This window comes from Homo sapiens, chromosome 15, assembly GCF_000001405.40.
Source record: "Homo sapiens chromosome 15, GRCh38.p14 Primary Assembly".
NCBI lineage: Eukaryota > Metazoa > Chordata > Mammalia > Primates > Hominidae > Homo > Homo sapiens.
The window spans coordinates 90,343,428-90,364,240 of NC_000015.10; the positions used below are offsets into that span (position 1 = coordinate 90,343,428).

Sequence of the window (20,813 nt, forward strand, 5' to 3'; positions counted from 1 at the left end):
CATAAAACAAACATAAGGAAAATTCAGAGTTATTTCTGGCCTCAGTGACCCAGGATTCAAAATGCTCTCAAAAGTTTTCCAGCTTCTGCCCTCTGCTTCCCTCTCTCTGCCTTCGTCTCATTCTCTCGGAATGCGGTCCAGCTGGCAGGAAATATGGCTGCCATGGCCTACAGACTCACGTCTTCCCATCTTTACTTCTGGAAAGCAACAGGTCCTTTTCCTTTGGTTCCAGCTTACAAAGTCCCAGGAGAGGTCCCTGATAGGCTCAGCATGAGTCATCTGTGCTCTTCTTGACAAATCATCTTGGGCAAGATAGCACAGTTCTGCGGTAGGCTCAGTTTGGGTTGAGTGCTCACCTCCAAACCAGACCCTGTGATGGAGAGGAGGGATCAGGTAAGCAGATGGCAGCTCCCATCTGAACTATGCATGGGGTGCTGTTCTGTAAAGAAAAATCAGTTGCTATTTCCCCTAGAAGGATAGTGTGCTGGTAGACAAGTGACAGATATTCACCAGATGCAAATGGAATCATATTTCACATGTGTTTTGCCACACACTTTGTTACATCTTTCATTTGTCTATGTTCCATGACATAATTTCAGTGATAATAACATTTAATGGCAGAGCATTCTATTGCTCTGGCAGAATATTCTATTCCGGAATACAGCCATGATGACTGGAAGTGACCATGAGGACAAGAGCCACCCATCAGGGTTGACAGAGCAGGAAGACAGAGAACACCCAGGTCCTTGACAGCATCCTGGAGTTACTTTACTAGCCAAGTATTACCAATCTCTAGACTTTTTTTTTTTTTTTTTTTTTTTTTTTTTTTGAGACAGAGTCTCTCTCTGTCATCCAGACTGGAGTGCAGTGGTGCAATCTCGGCTCACTGCAATCTCTAACTCCCAGGCTCAAGCGATTCTCTTGACTCAGCCTCCTGAGTAGCTGGGATTACAGGCATGCACCACTATGGCCAGCTAACTTTTTTGTATTTTTAGTAGAGACAGGGTTTTGCCATGTTGGCCAGGCTGGTCTCAATCTCCTGGCCTCAAGTGACCCACCCACTTCGGCCTCCCAGATTGCTGGGATTACAGGTGTGAGCCACTGCAACCAGCCTTTTTAGACTTCTTGATACATGAGAAAAATAATCCCTGATTTGGATAAACCACAGTAGTCAGGGTTCTCTTGCATATGGACAAGTGCAGTTCCTAATAAATACACTTCTTGACAGCCTTCCATGATTAAAGGTAGGCCAGGGAAATTAACATCAATGGGAAAGGTAGGGAAGGGTAATAATAGGAACCCCAGAGAGGTTGAGGGGAAGCTGAAATAAAGGAACTTGTAGCCTACTTCTTTTTTGAAGTGTTGAAGGAAACTGACCCATAGAGCATTCTGGAGCCAACATTCTATGGTTGCAACAGAGTAGAACTGGCAGTCATAGCTGAATTGAGTAGCAAGAAGGTAAGAGGTAGTACCCAAGACTTTGATCCTATGTAGCATGAAGGGTTGCAGAAGTCTCTAAGGCTCCTAGTTTGAGTAATGGGATCGTCTCCCCAGTTCCCCATACATAGAGATCTTTACTGTAAGTTTCCTTAAAGAGCTGTCATAGGAGCATGATGGAGTACATCACAAGGACAATGTCCTAAAGTCCTCTGTAGTCCCTGTGGTAGTCAGCCTCTAAGGTGGCCCACTATGATGGTTAATTTTAGGTGTCAGCTGGGTGTGGTGGTTCAAGCCTGTAATCCCAGCACTTTGGGAGACTGAGGCAGGGGGCTCACTTGAGCCCAGGAGTTCAAGACCAGCCTCAGCAACATAGCAAGACCCCCTCTCTATAAAAAATTTTAAAATTAGCCAAGTGCAGTAGCACATGCCTATAGTCCTAGCTGCTTGGGAGGCTGAGGTGGAAGGATCACTTGAACCTGGGAGTTTGAGGCTGCAATGAACTATGATCACACCACTGCATGGAAGCCTGGGTAAGAGAGTGAGACCCTGTCTCTAAAAAAAAAGTTTCAGGTGTCAACTTGACTAGATTAAGGAATACCCAGATAGCTGAGAAAGCTTTATAGTTATGCCTGTAAGTGTGTTTGGAAGAGACTGGCATTTAAATCAGTAGACTGATAAGGAAGATCTGCCCTCACCCAGGGTGGATGGTAGCATCCACTCAGCTGAGGGCCCAGATAGTGCAAAAGGGCAGAGGAAAGGCGAATTTTCTCTCTCTCTCTTCTGAGCTGGGACACCCTTCTCCTGATGTTAGACATCAGAACTCCAGGTTCTTCAGCCTTCAGACTTCAGGACTTGCACCAGCAGCCCCTCAAGTTCTTGGGCCTTTGAACTTAAACTGACTCACACTACTGGCTTCCCTGGTTCTCTATATCTATATATCCTATTGATTCTTTCTCTCTGGAGAACCCAGACTAATACACTCACTGTGATCCTTGCCTCCAAGTATTCATACCTTTGTGTAGTCCCCTCCCACACTGTACCAGGGTTGGTCTGTGTGACCAAAGGAGTATGGCAGAAATGATGGTCTATCACTTCCAAGGTTAGATTGCAGCTTCTGCTTCTTTCTCTCAATCACTCACCCTGGGGAAGCCAGCTGACACGTTGTGAGGAGAAGCTACACGTGAGGAAACAGTCACATGAGGGAGCTTGGGAGCAAGCTGATCATCCAGCCCCAGTCAATCCTACAGATAACTGTAGTCCCAGCCAGTGTCTAGACTGCAACCTTGTGAGAGACCTTCAATTAGAGATACTCACCTAGGCTGTTCCAGATTCCTAATCAACAGAAATAAAATAATTTTTTTTGAGACAGGGTTTCACTCTGTCTTCCAGGCCAGAGTGCAGTGGTGCCATCCTGGCTCACTGCAGCCTCAATCTCCCCAGGCTCAAGTGATCCTCTTACCTCAGCTTCCCAGGTAGCTGAGACTACACGTACGCATCACCAAACCCAGCTGATTTTTTTATTTTTAGTAGAGACGAGGCCTTGCCATGTTGCCCAGGCTGGTCTTGAACTCCTGGGCTCAAGCAATCCTCCTGCCTCAGCTTCCCAAAGTGCTGGGATTACAGGCATAAGCCACTGCACCTGGCAAATGTTTTGTTTTGTTTTTTAAGGTAAGCAATTATTTCATTTCCTTGGTGAAGGGGTGGCCTGCCCCTCCACACCTGTGGGTATTTCTAGTCGGGTGGGACAAGAGACTGAGAAAACAAATAAGACACAGAGACAAAGTATAGAGAAACAACAGTGGGCCCAGGGGACCGGCACTCAACACACCAAGGACCTGCACTGGCACCGGCCTCTGAGTTCCCTCAGTTTTTATTGATTATTATTTTCATTATTTCAGCAAAAAGGAATGTAGTAGGAGAGCAGGGTGATAATAAGGAGAAGGTCAGCAAAAAACATGTGAGCAAAGGAATCTATGTCATAATTAAGTTCAAGGGAATGTACTATGACTGGACGTGCACGTAAGCCAGATTTATGTTTCTCTCCACCCAAACATCTCAGCGGAGTAAAGAATAACAAGGCAGCATTACTGCAAACATATCTCGCCTCCCACCATAGGGCGGTTTTTCTCCTATCTCAGAATTGAACAAATGTACAATCGGGTTTTATACCGAGACATTCAGTTCCCAGGGGCAGACAGGAGACAGTGGCCTTCCTCTATCTCAACTGCAAGAGGCTTTCCTCTTTTACTAATCCACCTCAGCACAGACCCTTTACGGGTGTCGGGCTGGGGGACAGTCAGGTCTTTCTCATCCCACGAGGCCATATTTCAGACTATCACACGGGGAGAAAACTTGGACAATACCCCGCTTTCAAGGGCAGAGGTCCCTGCAGCTTTCCACAGTACATTGTGCCCATGGCTTATTGAGACTAGAGAATGGCGATGACTTTCACCAAGTATACTGCTTGTAAACATTTTGTTAACAAGGCACGTCCTGCACAGCCCTGGATCACTTAAACCTTGATTTTATACAACACATGTTTTTGTGAGCTCCAAGTTGGGTCACAGTGGTTGGGTCAAAGTGGCTGGGGCAAAGCTACAAATTAACAACATCTCAGCAAAGCAATTGTTTAAAGTACAGGTCTTTTTCAAAATGGAGTCTCTTATGTCTTTCCTTTCTACATAGACACAGTAACAGTCTGATCTCTCTTTTCCCTTCACTTGGCCTGACAGCATTGACTTCATTACACAAGAACTTGCAGCTGACAGAACTGACACACAGATTTCCCCCAAGAGGAAGAACCCTTTTCATTTGCAGAGATGAATTGAAATGTCATGTCTGAGTGCAATTCCTGCTCCCCACTCCCACCCCACAAAATCCTATAAGTGATAATAAATCAATAAAATCCCCATGATTTACTAAAAGTCATCCCTGCAAACCTTTCTAACTAGCAGCTGCAGTGGATAACCAAGAAGGGAAGCAGCTGGCCATCACATAGCATTCCTGTGAGTGTGAGAATGAAGGGACAGCAGCATGGGAGCGAGAATCCTGAATGAGTGAGAGGTATAGATAATCTACCTCACTTCATACCTGCCCCTTCCCTACATAAGACATCTCTGTCCTGATACATGGAAAATACTAGAGGAGATGGTAGAAGTGGTTTTAGTCTGCAATTGGAAATGCCTGAAGCTTATTAAATTCCAAGGTAGGGGTGAGATGAGGAGCACCAGAGAGAAAGAGCAGGTTAGACAGAGATGCTCAACTCACTCTGTCAATTCCAGTTTAATGCTATTTAACAACAAAATTATCTTCTTAATCATAACCACCCTCATGCCTAACCCCTATTTTCCAAAGATAAGAGATCCCTGTCTAAATTTCTGGGTTGGTGTCTACTGCCGCCCCTGGGGTGGTACTGTGATGTTTGTGAGTGAGATTGCAACTGGGATGGGAGAAAAGAAGTGTGGGATACGGAAGATCGGGGGCCACGATGCATCAATTACAGTGGGTCTCTTTTCGTCCCCAGGTATGGCCCACTACCACAAGTCCCCTTTCCCTACCTGTCTTGTGCAACTGTCAAAAACAGAATCTCTGCCCAAAGAGAAGGGAGCACAGGGAGTTGCTGCTGGACTGCCATCATCTCTGACCCCAACTTGTCCACCTCCTGACCGACCTTTCTATGAAACTGCACAAAAATTAAATCTCAGGAATGCCATAAAATTACATCATCCCCATTCCTCTATCAAAGCCAATCCAACAGCTCTGTCCTGACATGCTTTCTCCCTGGGCCAAGGAAGCAACAAAAAATATCAGTTGAGCATGTGAAAATGCGTTGACGGTGTGTGCGGTGTAAAGTTTCTATATGTCTTCACCTTCTGTCTCCTCACGGTGGGAGCCGCCCTCTCTTTCCCCAAGTCACACACACACCCCTCCCCTACCCCTAAGTCCAGGTGCTTCCATCTGCTGGGCTTCCAACCACTCATTTCCCATAGACACTCTCATTACTGTAGGCCACATACAGAAAATCATCTTCCTCATGACTGTCCTCATATAGTTGGCCCATGGTAGCACTAGTGGGAGGGATAGTGTTGTTGACAAAGAAGAATAAGGCGTCCTCAGGTCTCAGGTGGATTCTCTTCCGGATTAAAAGGTAGAACTGGCCATCGGTAAGGTCGGAGGGCACTAGGTACTTCCTCCTGTCCAGATCAGGCACCCTTGCTTTTGGAGCCTTCTCTACAATCAAGGGGACCCTGTCCGGATATTTCTTCCGGATCTTTTCTCCTTCCTTTTTCCGATACTCAAAGGGATGGACCTCCTTGTACTGGAACTTCATGGTGAATCACAGGGCTTCCGTGATCCCCGCGCAGGGCCTGCCTCCTTCGCCGCTGACCGCTGGCCACGTCCCGCTCCCTCCGCCGACGTGTGCTTAGAATAGCTGCAGAAATGTCCGCTTCCGGGTCAACAGCACTGGTCCAAGTGTGCGGGAGGGCAGAAGGTGGGGTGGGAGGGGGACCTCGGGTGCGCCTGCCTGGAGGTAGAGGAGAGCCAGGTGGAGAAATACCGGCGGCTTTTCCAAACAGCTGGGAGCACAAAAACCAAATATTTGGTTTTTTAAACCAATAAATTTTGGGGTAATTTGTTACACAGCAATAGATAATGATAGACTCTCTCTTTAAAAAAATCAGTTCTGGCAGGGTGCGATGGCTCACGCCTGTAGTTCCAGCACTATGGGAGGCCAAGGCGGGTGGATCACCTGAGGTCAGGAGTTCGAGACCAGCCTGGCCAACATGGTGACACCCCCGTCTCTACTAAAGATACAAAAAATTAGCCGGGCGTGGTGGTGCACGCCTGTAATCCTAGCTACTTGGGAGGCTGAGGCAGGAGAATCGCTTGAAGCCAGGAGGCAGAGGTTGCAGTGAGCTGTGATGGTGCCATTGCACTCCAGCCTGGGCGACAGGGCAAGACTCTGTCTCAAAATAAATAAATAAATAAATAAATAAATAAATTCAGTTATAGCAAGTGCTGAAGTCTTTCTGTCTTTTCATGCTCCTTGAAGTCCTTTCACAGTTTTTCCTGGCTCTTCTACGCCTCCTCTCGGCCACGCCCTTTAGCACCCAACCCCTCAACAGGTAATGATCCTCTCTTCACGTGGCCATTGCGGGTACATGATTGGTTTCCTGTACTGACTGCTCTTCTCGTGAGACCAAGCTTCCTTTCCCCTACTCCCCACACACCTGATCATTGTGAACAAACCGCCGAGAGAACAAGGTAAGGCAGAAGGAACAGAAGCTGCAGAGAGCGGCAGGGGATAGCCACCAGCCAGATTCTGTGACTCTTCATTCATCTCCCCACTCCAGTCCCAGATTGAAGAATAATCTTCATGATCTCCTTAATGGCAAAATGCTAGAAAGACTTACCGAGGGGTCTGAAGATGCCTTCGGTTCTCCAGGTCCTGAACTCTGTTCCAGTTACAGGAGGACTGGCAATCCCTAGGTTTCCTGGGTGTTACTTTGTTACTGACCTCCTCTGAGATTTCCATTTTCCTCAATTTCGTCTAACTAAATCTAACTACGTCTAACTACCTCTGCTAACCAGACATTTGTTCATAGTCGACAGAGTTTCCGAAAATGCAATGTAGTTACCTTGCAGATGACTATAATTGTGTAGCAAAATAACTAAGATGCCACTGGCTATATGGAAAAAAAAATTACTTAGGATTTTGATACCTTTTATGGTTTATTTCCCCTTTTGGCCTGTGAACTTCATGAAGGTAATGGTTATGTATGATTCCCGAGTAATCACAGTTCCCAGAACGATCTTTTTTTTTTTTCTTTCTTTTTTTCTTTTTTGAGACGGAGTCTTGCTCTGTCGCTCAGGATGGAGTCCAGTGGCGCGATCTCGGCTCACTGCAAGCTCCACCTCCCGGGTTCACATCATTCTCCTGCCTCAGCCTCCCGAGTAGCTGGGACTACAGGCGCCCGCCACCACGCCCGGCTAATTTTTTCTATATTTAGTAGAGACGGGGTTTCACCATGTTAGCCAGGATGGTCTCGATCTCCTGACCTCGTGATCCTCCCGCCTCGGCCTCCCAAAGTGCTGGGATTACAGGCGTGAGCCACCACGCCCTGCCCCCAGAACGATCTTGAGAACAGAATGTTCCCAATAAATATCCACTGGAAAATGCACCTTATTTTTGTTGAAGGAATGGTGGAATTAGCATCAAAGGGATCTTCAACATTAACTCGGGCCGGGCACGGTGGCTCACGCCTGTAATCCCAGCACTTTAGGAAGCCGAGGCGGGCGGATCACGAGGTCAGGAGATGGAGATCATCCTGGCTAACATGGTGAAACCCCGTCTCTACTAAAAATACAAAAAATTAGCCGGGTGTGGTGGCGGGCGCCTGTAGTCCCAGCTACTCGGGAGGCTAAGGCAGGAGAATGGTGTGAACCTGGGAGGCAGAACTCGCAGTGAGCCGAGATCGTGCCACTGCACTCTAGCCTGGGCGACAGAGCGAGACTCCGTCTAAAAAAAAAAAAAAAAAAAAACTCTATGGCTGGTAATTCTAAGCGTTTTATAATACATCACAAAATGTTCTTTTATTTTTCTAAATTGCACTGAATCAACAAACGGAGTAGACAGGCACATTTTCTTCACTTTAAGGAAAGACTTTGTTGTTTTTTAGCTAGGGGCCGACCCAAAGTGATCACTGGCTCTCACATGAGACCCAGGAGCCTCCCCAGTTTGAAGCCCGATATCACATTTCCCAGAATACTTGATGCCCTCGCCCGCCTCCTCTGGCTATCAACCAGACGGAAAGGGGATGTGCCTGGGAGTTTGATGCCAAGGGAAGGATGCGGAATGTCTGTTTTCTACTAAGGGCTTCTGCTGGGCCTTTCCAATGTCCAGTTTGAGTTGGTCTGGGACCTGGCCTCCGCAAACACCCTGCAGGCTCCGGCCGCCGGGGATGAGGTGGAAGACTGGGCAGAAGAGAGGCCGCAAAGGCCCGAGGGCTGAGCTGCTCTGCGCTGGGGAGGGGCGAAGTGCCAGAGCGCGGGAGACCTCATGGTGGGCACCAGGCTGCTCCGCGGTAGGTGGGTGAGGCCAGGAGATTCACATCTGCAGATGCCACAGTGAGGATACAGCATTTAGATCCCTCGGCTCCAAACAGGCGGTTCCGGGGGACCGGTAGCTGGGGAATTGGGTTTAGCACTTTCCAACGCTTGGAACTGGACATCCACGGCTCCGAGTCCTTTGAGGTCTTGCTCGGGACTACGTTTCCCAGAAGGCTAGGCGATAATTGACAGCTCTATCAGCCTATGGACAGAGAAAAATTCTAGCCATGGAAACTGAAAAGCCAATAGCAAGAGGATGGGGGCGGTACTTTCCGGCCGCTGGCTGTCGAAGCCGGAGTCCCACCTGTGTCCCCACAGCCCTGTCACGAATCCCGGTCGGGTTCTGGGAGGCACAGCCTCGGGGTTGCGGGCCGGGTGCGGCTCGGCGGTGGAGGACTCACTTCCTGCTCCATCCCCGGCTGGGCCCTGGGGCGGTGAGTGATTCAAGGAGGGAGACCGCGGCGGCAGCGGCGCGCTGCTGAGGGGCGTGGAGGGGGCTTGCCCGCCACCCAGACGTTTTCTCAGCGGGGTTCCCGCGCTGGCCTTTGGGAGCCCCCGGGTCTTGCTGGGCTGTGGGAGAGGTAGCTGTGGTCTCTATACCGTCGGCGGGATAAGTCATTCTCTTAATCAGTTTTCTTGCTTCTCGATGGTGGTCCCAGGGTTTCAGCTGATCTGTGACCCTCTGACCGCCGCACCCCGGTTAGGGCGCGAGCACCGAGAAGAAGAACGGGGTTCGGCCCCACGCGTGCAGTCATGTTCCTATTAATAAACCCGGTGAACGCACTGGAGCTTCTCACAGTGGCACTTAGTCACAGCCCCTCAGCGCTGTGGGGCCTTTGAGGTCACCTGTGCATGGGGAAAGGGACGGGCTGGGAAACAGGGTTTCTATAACCGTGGCTAAGACGTCTCCCCTCCTCAGTGGCGCTGTCTCCAGCAAGTGGGCCCTGCAGCTGTGTTTTGTAATGAATGTAGAAATAAAAATTATACTCAAAACTCTTTTTTTTTTTTAGACGGAATTTCGCTCTTGTTGCCCAGGCTGGAATGCAATGGCGCTATCTCCTTTCACTGCAGTCTCCACCTCCCGGGTTCAGGCGATTCTCCTGCCTCAGCCTCCCAAGTAGTTGGGATTACAGGCGTGTGCCACCACACCCGGCTAATTTTGTATTCTTAGTAGAGACAGGGTTTCACCATGTTGGCCAGGCTGATCTCGAACTCCTGACCCCAGGTGATCCGCCCGTCTCGTCTTCCCAAAGTGCTGGGATTACAGTCATGAGCCACAGCACCTGGCCAATACTGAAAACTCTTATTACAATTTTTACTTTCTAATTACATTATTGTTGTTTGTTAAAGTTTTAAACCAGAGAGATGGTTTTTAGATCCTTAAAAACTCAATACTTTATAAATGACCAATAATAATGTCTGTAAATACAAAAATATTTCCCCCAAAAGTGTGTGTGTGTGTGTGTGTGTGTGTGTGTGTGTGTGTGTGTTCCAGTAGTAAATAGGTGATTTGTAGTGGGACAAAAGATGTGAAAGAGTAAAACTTCTTCACCACAGTCTGGTCCTTCCTCCCTTGAAATGCAATATTCTTTGTAGTGGGTGGTCATGCTGGCTGCATTTTTTTTTTTTTTAAGGGAGAGACAGGGGCTCACTCTGTTGCTAGGCTGGGGTGCAGTGGCGCCATCATAGCTCACTGCAGCCTGGAACTCCTGGGCTGAAGTGATCCTCCCACTTCAGCCTCCTGAGTAGCTGGGACCACAAGTGCATGCCACCATGCCTGGCTGATTTTTAAAAGTTCTTTGTAGAGAAAGAGGTCTCAATATGTTGCTGAGGCTGGTTTATTGGAAACTTTTTAAGGGAAAAAACATTATCTTAATTTCTATGTGACTCCTATGCCTGGCAACATATTAATTGTTGAATAAATGACTGATCCATCCAGTAATTCACTCTTGACTATCCTCCAAAAAGTAATGTTTTTCATGATATTGCTGTCGATTTATTAATATATTAATGATTGGTTTCAGCCCCTAAGAGTTGTGTTTTGTGCTTATTCCCACTTTCACTTATTTTTACAACCTATCCATGTCTTCTTTTTTTTAAAAAAAAAATGTCTTTTTCAGTCTTATTTCTGACTCCATTAAGATCTTGAAATAGAATGGTATCCAACACAGTTCCCTTTGGGGTTCTGTATAATCTGTCCCTTGAGGTTGACACCAAATCTGCAAGCCAAGAAGTTAGCTGCTCCCATAACTAATATGAGTATAGTTAAGGCCACAATTTCCTTGCTTGCTGAGGAAAATGAAGTTGGGGAGAATCAAAAGCTTTCCAGAAATCAAATTACACCTGCCAACTCTCTCCTTTGTTTACCTTGTTCATCGTGGACAATTTGTTCCTCAAAAAGTCAATGTGTCTAAAAGACTGGGTTCTGTCGATGTGTTTGGGAGGCCTAGGCCTCTCTTAGTAATGGGAAAGTTGGCCAGGAGAAGACGTATGTAAAAACAGACTTAGAAAAGCACCCCTCTGTGGTTGACAGAATTTACCTCAGGACCATTCTGGTCAGGTGTGGGGGGTTGTTTGTGTACACTGGTGGCCATTTTTTGGCTTTCAGACAATGGTGAGAATATCTAGGGAGCTACTGATGCACATTGAGGTCTCTTGCTTTAGGAACTGATGACGCTTGATAATGTGGCTGGGGACTTCAGGGAAGAGTGGGTTACCTGGACACTGCTTAGAGAATCCTCTCCAGGAATGCCACCCAGCACAGTTAGAAGAATGGGCTCTCAAAGGGTAAGAATGCTACTCTCCTTTATTTCATTTATTTATCTTGTTTTTTTTGAGACGGGGTCTCGCTCTGTCATCCAGGCTGGAGTGCAGTGGCGCGATCTCGATTCACTGCAATCTGTGCCTCCTGGGCTCAAGCGATTCTCCCACCTCAACCTCCTGAGTAGCTGCGATCACAGGCATGTGCCACCATGCCTAGCTAATTTTTTGTGTTTTTAGTAGAGACAGGATTTTGCTATGTTGGCAAGGCTGGTCTCACTATGCTGTCCAGGCTGGTCTCAAACTCCTGAGCTCAAGCAATCCACTGGCCTCCGCCTTCCAAAGTGCTAGGATTATGGGCGCCACCATGCCTGACCACTGCTCTCCTTTAATTTGAGACTTAGATATTTGGAGAGGGCCCAGGTCTGAGGAGTTTCTGGTATGTTGGCATCTTAGAGCTCCAGACCTCTGTAAGATTAATTGTTGCCTCCTTGGGAGAAAAACAATTACTTCCTTATGCATTTTATGGTTTGCAAATGTCTTTGCTATTTATTGTCCTTTTAATATCTCATCATAACTTTTTGACTTATGTATTACTATCCCCCTTTTCCAGCCTGGGTTGGACTCTCACCTCTGCCACTTAACTTCTGAGACTTCTGAGGTCTTTGTGGAAAAGGAGGTAATTTTTTCTGTCACTTAAAAACAGGCTGGGGGCAGTGGCTCACGCCTGTAATCCCAGCACTTTGGTAGGCTGAGGTGGGCGGATCATAAGGTCAGGAGTTCGAGACCAGCCTGGCCAACATGATGAAACCCTGTCTCTACTAAAAATAAAAAAATTAGCTGGGTGTGATAGCGGGCGCCTGTAATCCCAGCTACTTTGGAGGTTGAGGCAGGAGAATTGCTTGAACCTGGGAGGTGGAGGTTGCAGTGAGCTGAGACCACGCCATTGCACTCCAGCCTGGGCAATAGAGCAAGACTCTGTCTCAAAAAAAAAAAAAAAAAAAAAAACAAGGCTGGGCGCGGTGGCTCATGCCTGTAATCCCAGCACTTTGGGAGGCCAAGGCAGGGAGATCACAAGGTCAGGAGATCGAGACCATCCTGGCTAACATGGTGAAACCCCGTCTTACTAAAAATACAAAAAATTAGCCAGGCATGGTGGTGGGCACCTGTAGTCCCAGCTACTCGGGAGGCTGAGGCAGGAGAACAGCGTGAACTGGGAGGCGGAGCTTGCAGTGAGCCAAGATCATGCCACTGCACTCCATCCTGGGCGACAGAGCAAGACTCCATCTCAAAAAAAAAAAAATAAATAAAAAAAACCAAAAACACCTCCAATGCTCTTTCTCAAATATCATGGCTACCCTTCCTCCTGCTTTACTTCTTTCTTTCTTTTTTTTTTTTTGTGGCAGAGTCTCGCTGTGTCGCCCAGGCTGGAGTGCCATGGCATGATCTCGGCTCACTGCAACCTCTGCCTCCTAGGTTCAAGCGATTCCTGGATAATTTTTTGTATTTTTAGTAGAGATGGGTTATCTCCATGTGGTCAGGCTGGTCTCAAACTACTGACCTCAAGTGATCCGCTCACTTCGGCCTCCCAAAGTGCTGGGATTATAGGAGTGGGCCCAGCTCTAATTTTTGTATTTTTAGTGGAGTCGAGGTTTCACCATGTTGGCCAGGCTGGTCTTGAACTCCTGACCTCAAGTGATCCGCTGGCCTTGGCCTCCCAAAGTGCTGAGATTAGAGGTGTGAGCCACTGCGCCTGGCCTACTTCATCTATTATACAAGTAATGTATACTCATTCAATAAAAAGTCAAGCAAAATGAAAACAAACATCATCCCTAATCCCACCAATGAAGAGTTACTATCCTACCAGCATTTTTCTAAGCATATATACAATTTTAAAAGAAGCACAAAAGAATAATATTGGGATTATGCTGTATATTCAGCTGTACATTCTTTCTTCCATGTTGTATTGTGAGTATATCTTTCTTTACATCACTTAAAATAACCACCTAGTATTTTGTTTTATGGAATACAATATTATTTTGTTGATGAAGTCAAACATTAGATTGAACCATATATCTGACCTTTTTTTAACCTATAAAAATAGCAATTGCCTGAGCTACTTGGGAGGCTGAGGCAGGAGGATCCCTTCAGCACAGGAGTTCGAGGCTGCAGTGAGCTATATAATTATTCCTTTGTTGTGGGACATTTAGGTCATTTCTAAACTTTCACCAGGTTGTGATAAACATCTTTTAGCTCGTTTTTTAAAAAGTATTTTTTATTGAAGTATAATTTTATCATTTTCTTAGAATTCTCAGAATTAGAATTGGTGGGTCAAAGAACAGATACATTTCTAAGGTATTTAATACTTTGCAAAATGCCTTCCAAGAAGATTGAATCAATTGATTTATTCCCACAAACATTATATGAAAGTGCGCATTTCTTTATATTCTACCTTTCACAGTGGGTATTATAATTTAAAGAGTCTGGGCCTGGGTGTGGCAGCTCATGTCTATAATCCCAGCATTTTGGGAGGCTGAGGCAGGAGGACCACTTGAGCTCTGGAGTTCCAGACCAGCCTGGGCAACATAATGAGACCCTGTCTCTACAAAAAGTTACATTAACCAGGTGTAGGGGCTTGTGCCTCTGGTCCCAGCTACTTGGGAGGCTGAGGTGAGAGAATCGCTTGAGCCAGGAGCTCGAGGATGCAGTTAACTGTGATTGTACCAGTGCTCTCCAGCCTGGGTGACAGAGCAAGAGCCTGTCTCAAAAACAAACAAACACACACACAAAACACAAAAAAAGAGTCTGGGAAAAATAGCAATAATAGTTAACATTTATTGAAGTTTTTTTTGGAGATGGAGTCTCAATGTGTTGCCCAGGCTGGAATGCAGTGGTGCAATCTCAGCTCACTGCAACGTCCGCCTCCCAGGCTCAAGCAATTCCCATGCCTCAGCCTCCCAAGTAGCTGGGATTACAGGTGTGCACCACCACACGTGGCTAATTTTTGTATTTTTAGTAGAGACAGGATTTCTCCATGTTGGACAGGCTGCTCTTAAACTCCTGGCCTCACAAGTGATCCAACTGCCTTGGTCTCCCAAAGTGCTGGGATTACAGGTGTGAGCTACTGCACCTGGCCAATGGATCTTATTCTTATCCCAATTTTTTTTTTTTTTTTTGAGATGGAGTCTCTCTCTGTCGTCCAGGCTGGAGTGCAGTGGTGTGACCTCGATTCACCATAACCTCTGCCTCCTGGGTTCAAGCGATTCTCCTGCCTCAGCCTCCCGAGTAACTGGGACTACAGGCCTGTGCCACCATGCCCGGCTAATTTTTAGTAGAGACGGGGTTTCACTATGTTGGCCAGGCTGGTCTCAAACTCCTGACCTCGTAATCCGCCTGCCTCGGCCTCCCAAAGTTCTGGGATTATAGGTGTGAGCCACTGAGCCTGGCCTCTTATCCCTATTTTATTGATGAAGACATTGAGACACAGAGTTTAAGTAACTTTCTTAAGGCCACACAGCTTGTAAGAGGCAGGATGATGACTCAGACCCAGGCAGTGTGACTCTTGAGTTTGCACTCATTACCTCTACACTATATTGCCTCAGTGTATCATTGTTATAATGGAATTTCTTTGATTATAGTGAGGTTAAACATTTTTCGTATATTTACAGGCTACTTAACAACTGTTTGTCTTTTTCTCATGGCTTTTTTGACTGCTGCCATTCTGGGAAAATTTTAAAGCCCAACATTATAGTTAACTTCCTTCATTGTTTCTAAGGGTGAGGTCATGGAGGCTTGGTTTCTGATAAAATCCTCTCCATATTTAGCTTTAGCCTTGTACCTTCAGAAATGGTTATTGTATTTACTTCAGAGTTTCTGTCACCTGAGTCTGGTTTTTTTTCTTTATGGGAGGAAAAGGGCTTTTTTTTCTTAACATTTTGGGGAAATCACCGTGTTTTATCACTGTACCATGGCTGCACTTTTTTAATGACACCAAATACACGTTAGAGCTCCCCAGGTGTTCTTCCATACCTAGGCAGGGAGTAGGGCTTGGATTTTGCTCAGGCCTTGTGTGATTGGCTCAGACTCACATCCTATGTTTACATTCCTGTGTAGAATTTCCAGGCCTAGTGTAATCTCCCAGCCGGAGCAGAAAGAAGAGCCATGGGTCCTACCACTCCAAAACTTTGAGGCGAGGAAGATCCCGAGGGAAAGCCACACAGGTGAGATGTGAGTGCTCCCCAGTGGAAGGAAATCTAGCATTTCAGCCTTGTTTAGATGAAGAATTTGGAATGCTGCCTTAGAATTTTGTTCTTACTAGCAGACATTTTTTTTTTTTTTTTTTTTTTGAGACGGAGTCTCGCTCTGTCGCCCAGGCCGGACTGCGGACTGCAGTGGCGCAATCTCGGCTCACTGCAAGCTCCGCTTCCCGGGTTCACGCCATTCTCCTGCCTCAGCCTCCCGAGTAGCTGGGACTACAGGCGCCCGCCACCGCGCCCGGCTAATTTTTTGTATTTTTAGTAGAGACGGGGTTTCACCTTGTTAGCCAGGATGGTCTCGATCTCCTGACCTCATGATCCACCCGCCTCGGCCTCCCAAAGTGCTGGGATTACAGGCGTGAGCCACCGCGCCCGGCCACTAGCAGACATTTAAATTTGACTTAATGGTCAGTAGTTGACTAAATAAAGTCTTCATTTTGATTAAGCATTTCACTTTTGTCTAACCTATGTTTTTTTTTGAGATGGAGTCTCCCTCTGTCTCCCAGCCTGGAGTGCAGTGACACAATCTCTGCTCACTGCAACCTCCGCCTCCCGGGTTCAAGTGATTGTCCTGCCTCAGCCTCCCAAGTAGCTGGGACTATAGGCACCCGCCACCACGCCCAGCTAATTTTCATATTTTTAGTAGGGATGGAGTTTCACCACGTTGGCCAGGTTGGTCTCGAACTCCCAACCTCAAGTGATCTGCCTGCCTCGGCCTCCCGAAGTGCTGGGATTATAGGCGTGAGCCACCACGCCTGGCCTAAACCTATAATATCTTCTAAAGAAACCGCACAATATTGACAATATGTGGTCTCCGCTTGAAGGATATCAAGATTCATCTGGCCATCTTAAAATTTAAAAAGTTTAGGAATTCACGTGTTCTGACAGCTCAATGAACCTCAATAAACTTTTCACAAAGTGAAAACAGAGCGGTTGAATTAAGTGCAGTCTGCTGCAGAAACAGGGATTTTAATCTTTGTCACTGCTTTCTGATATTCCTTCCTGATAACTGATAACTTTATTCTCTGTTACTTACATTAATTTTTCAGACTGTGAGCATCAGGTGGCAAAGCTCAATCAGGACAATTCTGAAACAGCAGAACAATGTGGAACATCCTCAGAAAGGACCAATAAAGATCTTTCTCATACTCTTAGTTGGGGAGGAAACTGGGAGCAAGGCCTAGAATTAGAAGGGCAACATGGAACCCTTCCAGGAGAGGGCCAGCTGGAGTCCTTTTCACAGGAGAGGGATTTAAACAAGCTCCTGGATGGATATGTAGGAGAGAAGCCTATGTGTGCAGAATGCGGGAAAAGCTTTAACCAGAGTTCCTATCTCATAAGACACCTAAGAACCCACACTGGCGAGAGGCCCTATACGTGCATTGAGTGTGGGAAAGGCTTCAAACAGAGCTCAGACCTTGTCACCCATCGCAGAACACACACAGGAGAGAAGCCCTACCAATGCAAGGGGTGTGAGAAGAAATTCAGCGACAGCTCAACACTCATCAAACATCAGAGAACCCACACAGGGGAGAGACCCTATGAGTGCCCAGAGTGTGGAAAGACTTTTGGGCGGAAGCCACACCTCATAATGCACCAAAGAACCCACACAGGCGAGAAGCCCTACGCGTGCCTGGAATGTCACAAAAGCTTCAGTCGAAGCTCAAATTTCATCACTCACCAGAGGACCCACACAGGGGTGAAGCCTTACAGGTGTAATGACTGTGGGGAGAGTTTTAGCCAGAGCTCGGATTTGATTAAGCACCAACGAACCCACACGGGAGAACGGCCCTTCAAATGCCCGGAGTGCGGGAAGGGCTTCAGAGATAGTTCTCATTTTGTAGCTCACATGAGCACTCATTCAGGAGAGAGGCCTTTCAGTTGTCCTGACTGCCACAAAAGCTTCAGTCAGAGCTCACATTTGGTCACGCACCAAAGAACACACACAGGTGAGAGACCTTTTAAGTGCGAAAACTGTGGGAAAGGATTCGCCGACAGCTCCGCCCTCATTAAGCACCAACGAATCCACACCGGAGAAAGACCCTACAAATGTGGAGAGTGTGGGAAGAGCTTCAATCAGAGCTCCCACTTTATTACCCATCAGCGAATCCACTTAGGAGACAGGCCCTATCGATGTCCTGAGTGTGGCAAGACCTTCAATCAGCGTTCCCATTTCCTCACACACCAGAGAACGCATACAGGAGAAAAACCTTTCCACTGTAGTAAATGTAACAAGAGCTTCCGTCAGAAAGCGCATCTTTTATGCCATCAAAACACCCATTTGATTTAGGAAGTAGTCTTTGGTGTTCAGCTGCTCCCTTGCACATTTTCATTGCTACTGTCTTCAAGCACCCCAAATAGAGAAAACCTGGGCGTCAGTGGCTCAATTTGGGCCCTGATCTATTCTCCCTCTTTCTTGTCTATGTTATAACAGAGAGGATAAACTTAAAGGGTCCAAATAACGGTCCGAATACAAAAGGCATTCCTTCAGTGTGTGACTGACTCTTAGGGAAATGTGAGTTTAATAGTTGATGCCCGCCAGGCGTGGTGGCTCACCCCTGTAATCCCAGCACTTTTGGGAGGCCAAGGTGGGTGGATCACTTGAGGTCAGGAGTTGAGACCAGCCTGGTGAGCATGGTGAAACCTCATCTCTACTAAAAATGCAAAAATTAGCTGGGCATGGTGGCACGTGCCTGTAGTCCCAGCTACTCGGGAGGCCGAGGCAGAAGAATCATTTGAACTCAGAAGGTGCAGGTTGCAGTGAGTTGAGATCATGCCACTGCACTCCAGCCTGGGCAACAGAGAGAGACTCTGTCTCCAAAAAAATTAAAAAGTTGATGCCTAGTTACTAAATGAGAAGTGAGAAAAATGTGGCCTAGAGATCACATGTTCACCACCTAGTACAGTGCCTGGCACAACATAGATGCTCAATAACTAAATGGTCCCATCATTATTAATGATTAATAGTTGAGGTCTTATATAAAGGCTTTAATGCAGTACCTGGCCCTTAAAAGACACTCAGTACAAGATTGGTGGCTTTTATCAGTCTTATTACTCAATTAGAAATTTATTAGTGTAGTCCCCCCGCCCCAAACTCAGAACGTGAAAGAAATTAGATTGGAACTAGAAGGTTTGGGGTTGGAATACACAAATTGAATAAAATGGAAATGCACTGCCAGTTCAGTGCTGTGCAGGCATTAGTCACCAGAGGTCTCACTGCCATGACAAGGCCAAATTATCGTAGAGGATGTTTGCGGTCTTGTGACTTGGAGGCTGAAAGAATTTCAGAAGCTCTTTTAAATGGCAGTGTATGGCAGTGTATCTACCAGAGGTTTGCTGTCATCTGACACAGAGAAAATATCCTACAATGAACAAGCCAGAGGGACCTGGTAGAGGACTATAAAATTGTGGAAGCAAAATTGCTGAGAATGTCAAATGATATTACAGGGATCCTCCCTGGCATTTAGCTGAAGGAAGCAACTCTTGTTTTCTAATTTGCTGGGTCATTGGCCATTTAGTTTTAGGTTAATATAATTCTCTGATCCTTTTAGGGCCATCCAGGTTATGCACTAGTACATTCCTACATTCAATTGAAATAAATTGAGGGACGGCAAGTGTGTTGGAAAGAACACCGACTTCATTGAGAAGGTAAAGTATTTGAGTCCTGGCCCTGACGCTTAATTTGGCCAGACTTTCATCTTCTCCCAGCCTCAAGTTTTACCTACCTCACAAGGTTGTTGTGAGGATCTAAAAATACACACACACACACACACACACACACACACACACACACTTTGTTGGTTAACTATAAATGTAATATCTCTATGTTATAATTCTGTTGCTAATGTCTTTTTTCCAAGAAAATTTTGGCTAATATTTCTTTAGGTATTCCTTTTTCTCTCATAGTGAGGGATTAAAAAAAAAAAAAACTGTTGAAAAATTAGGGCGTAAAAATGCTAAATGACATGACTCATCATGGGCCACGTAGTTAACAGAAGAGCCAGATTTGGCTGCAAGTCACTAGATTTCCAGCCTGCAGTCCTCCTCTGCAACAACAGACCAGCTCTGGGATTTGTTACAGTGCCTGTGAGACATTACAGGACTGGAGGACCCATATTATATCCATTAAACCAGTCTGAATTTGGAAATGATGGAGGGTGTAGTCTAAGTTGTAGGGAGCTTTGCAAGAACCTGTGCTGGGGTCCTTGATCCTGGTGGAATGGGGGTGGAGGAGTGAGCGCAAATGCAAGGGGTTAAGGAGGGAGCTGGGTAGTTATCACTTTTTAGAGTGCAAAGTGGTGGATTAAAGGTTTCTTTTCTTTCATTCTCTTCCATTATATGGAATGCCATCTGAGTGCTGTGGCTCATGAAGGATAGAACTCAGCTGATAACCTTACCTCAGTTTTTGAAAGCATCATTAGATAATTGACCAGAAAATTTTTTTTAGTTAATCCAGTGCAGTGGTTCTCAAACTGTGAGCCCAGTCCAGTAGCATCAGCATTATCTGGGAACTTTTTAGAAATGCAGATTCAGGCCGGGTGCAGTGGCTCACACCTGTAATCCCAGCACTCTAGGAGGCCGAGGCGGGTGGACCACCTGAGGTCAGGAGTTTGAGACCAGCCTGGCCAACATGGCAAAACCCCACCTATACTAAAAATACAAAAATTATCCAGGTGTGGTGGCATGTGCCTGTAATCCCACCAATTTGGGAGGCTGAGGCAGGAGAATCACTTGAACCCAGGAAATGGAGGCTGCAGTGAGCTGAGATCACACCTAGTCTCGAACTCCTCACCTCAGGTGATCTGCCTGCCTCAGCCTCCCAAAGTGCTGGGATTACAGGTGTGAGCCACCGTGCCTGGCCACCTATCATTTTGTTTGTTTTTCATGTTGTTCAGCTATTGTAAGATGTGAGGGTTTTTTTGTTTTTTGTTTTTTTTAGGTGAAGTCTTGCTCTGTTGCCCATGCTGGAGTGCAATGGCATGATCTTGGCTCACTGCAACCTCTGCCTCCCAGGTTCAAGCGATTCTCCTGCCTCAGCCTCCGGAGTAGCTGGGATTACAGATGCATGTCACCATGCCCAGCTAATTTTATATGTTAAGTAGAGACGGGGTTTCACCATGTTGGCCAGGCGGGTCTTGACCTCCTGACCTCAGGTGATCCACCTGCCTTGGCCTCCCAAAGTGCTGGGATTACAGGCGAGAGCCACCTCACCTGGCCACCTATCACTTTGATTTTCATGTTGTTTGG

At 46.6% G+C, this 20,813-nt stretch overlaps 1 protein-coding gene and 1 pseudogene across 2 annotated transcripts, besides 1 other annotated feature; one reads left to right on the top strand and one right to left on the bottom strand.

Moving 5' to 3' along the window:
- Nucleotides 1-3,099: 3,099 nt before the first annotated feature.
- Nucleotides 3,100-6,020, bottom strand: GABARAPL3 (GABA type A receptor associated protein like 3 (pseudogene); annotated as a pseudogene). Its single transcript, NR_028287.1, has 2 exons — nucleotides 4,161-6,020; nucleotides 3,100-3,128 (listed from the first exon to the last, which is right to left on the bottom strand). The product of NR_028287.1 is annotated as a GABA type A receptor associated protein like 3 (pseudogene) (transcript).
- A 2,836-nt stretch (nucleotides 6,021-8,856) lies between these two features.
- Nucleotides 8,857-19,420, top strand: ZNF774 (zinc finger protein 774). The gene is made up of 4 exons (NM_001004309.3): nucleotides 8,857-8,984; nucleotides 11,215-11,337; nucleotides 15,424-15,530; nucleotides 16,616-19,420. Exons 2-4 carry the CDS (start codon nucleotides 11,234-11,236, stop codon nucleotides 17,854-17,856), a joined length of 1,452 nt encoding a protein of 483 aa, NP_001004309.2. The 5' UTR covers nucleotides 8,857-8,984; nucleotides 11,215-11,233; the 3' UTR covers nucleotides 17,857-19,420.
- Nucleotides 19,450-19,744: a silencer, noted in NCBI's record as "tiled region #12979; HepG2 Repressive non-DNase unmatched - State 10:DNaseD". NCBI's record gives its function as "represses a minimal TATA promoter and a strong SV40 promoter by Sharpr-MPRA in HepG2 cells {active_cell/tissue: HepG2}" and the evidence as "EXISTENCE:reporter gene assay evidence [ECO:0000049][PMID:27701403]".

Bases quoted from the DNA above. Each gene is read 5' to 3' on its own strand.
- ZNF774 (NM_001004309.3), top strand. From the start codon at position 11,234: ATGTGGCTGGGGACTTCAGGGAAGAGTGGGTTACCTGGACACTGCTTA. The intron at 11,338-15,423 runs GTAAGAATGCTA...ATTCCTGTGTAG, and splicing joins GAAGAATGGGCTCTCAAAGG to AATTTCCAGGCCTAGTGTAA. The intron at 15,531-16,615 runs GTGAGATGTGAG...TTAATTTTTCAG, and splicing joins CCCGAGGGAAAGCCACACAG to ACTGTGAGCATCAGGTGGCA.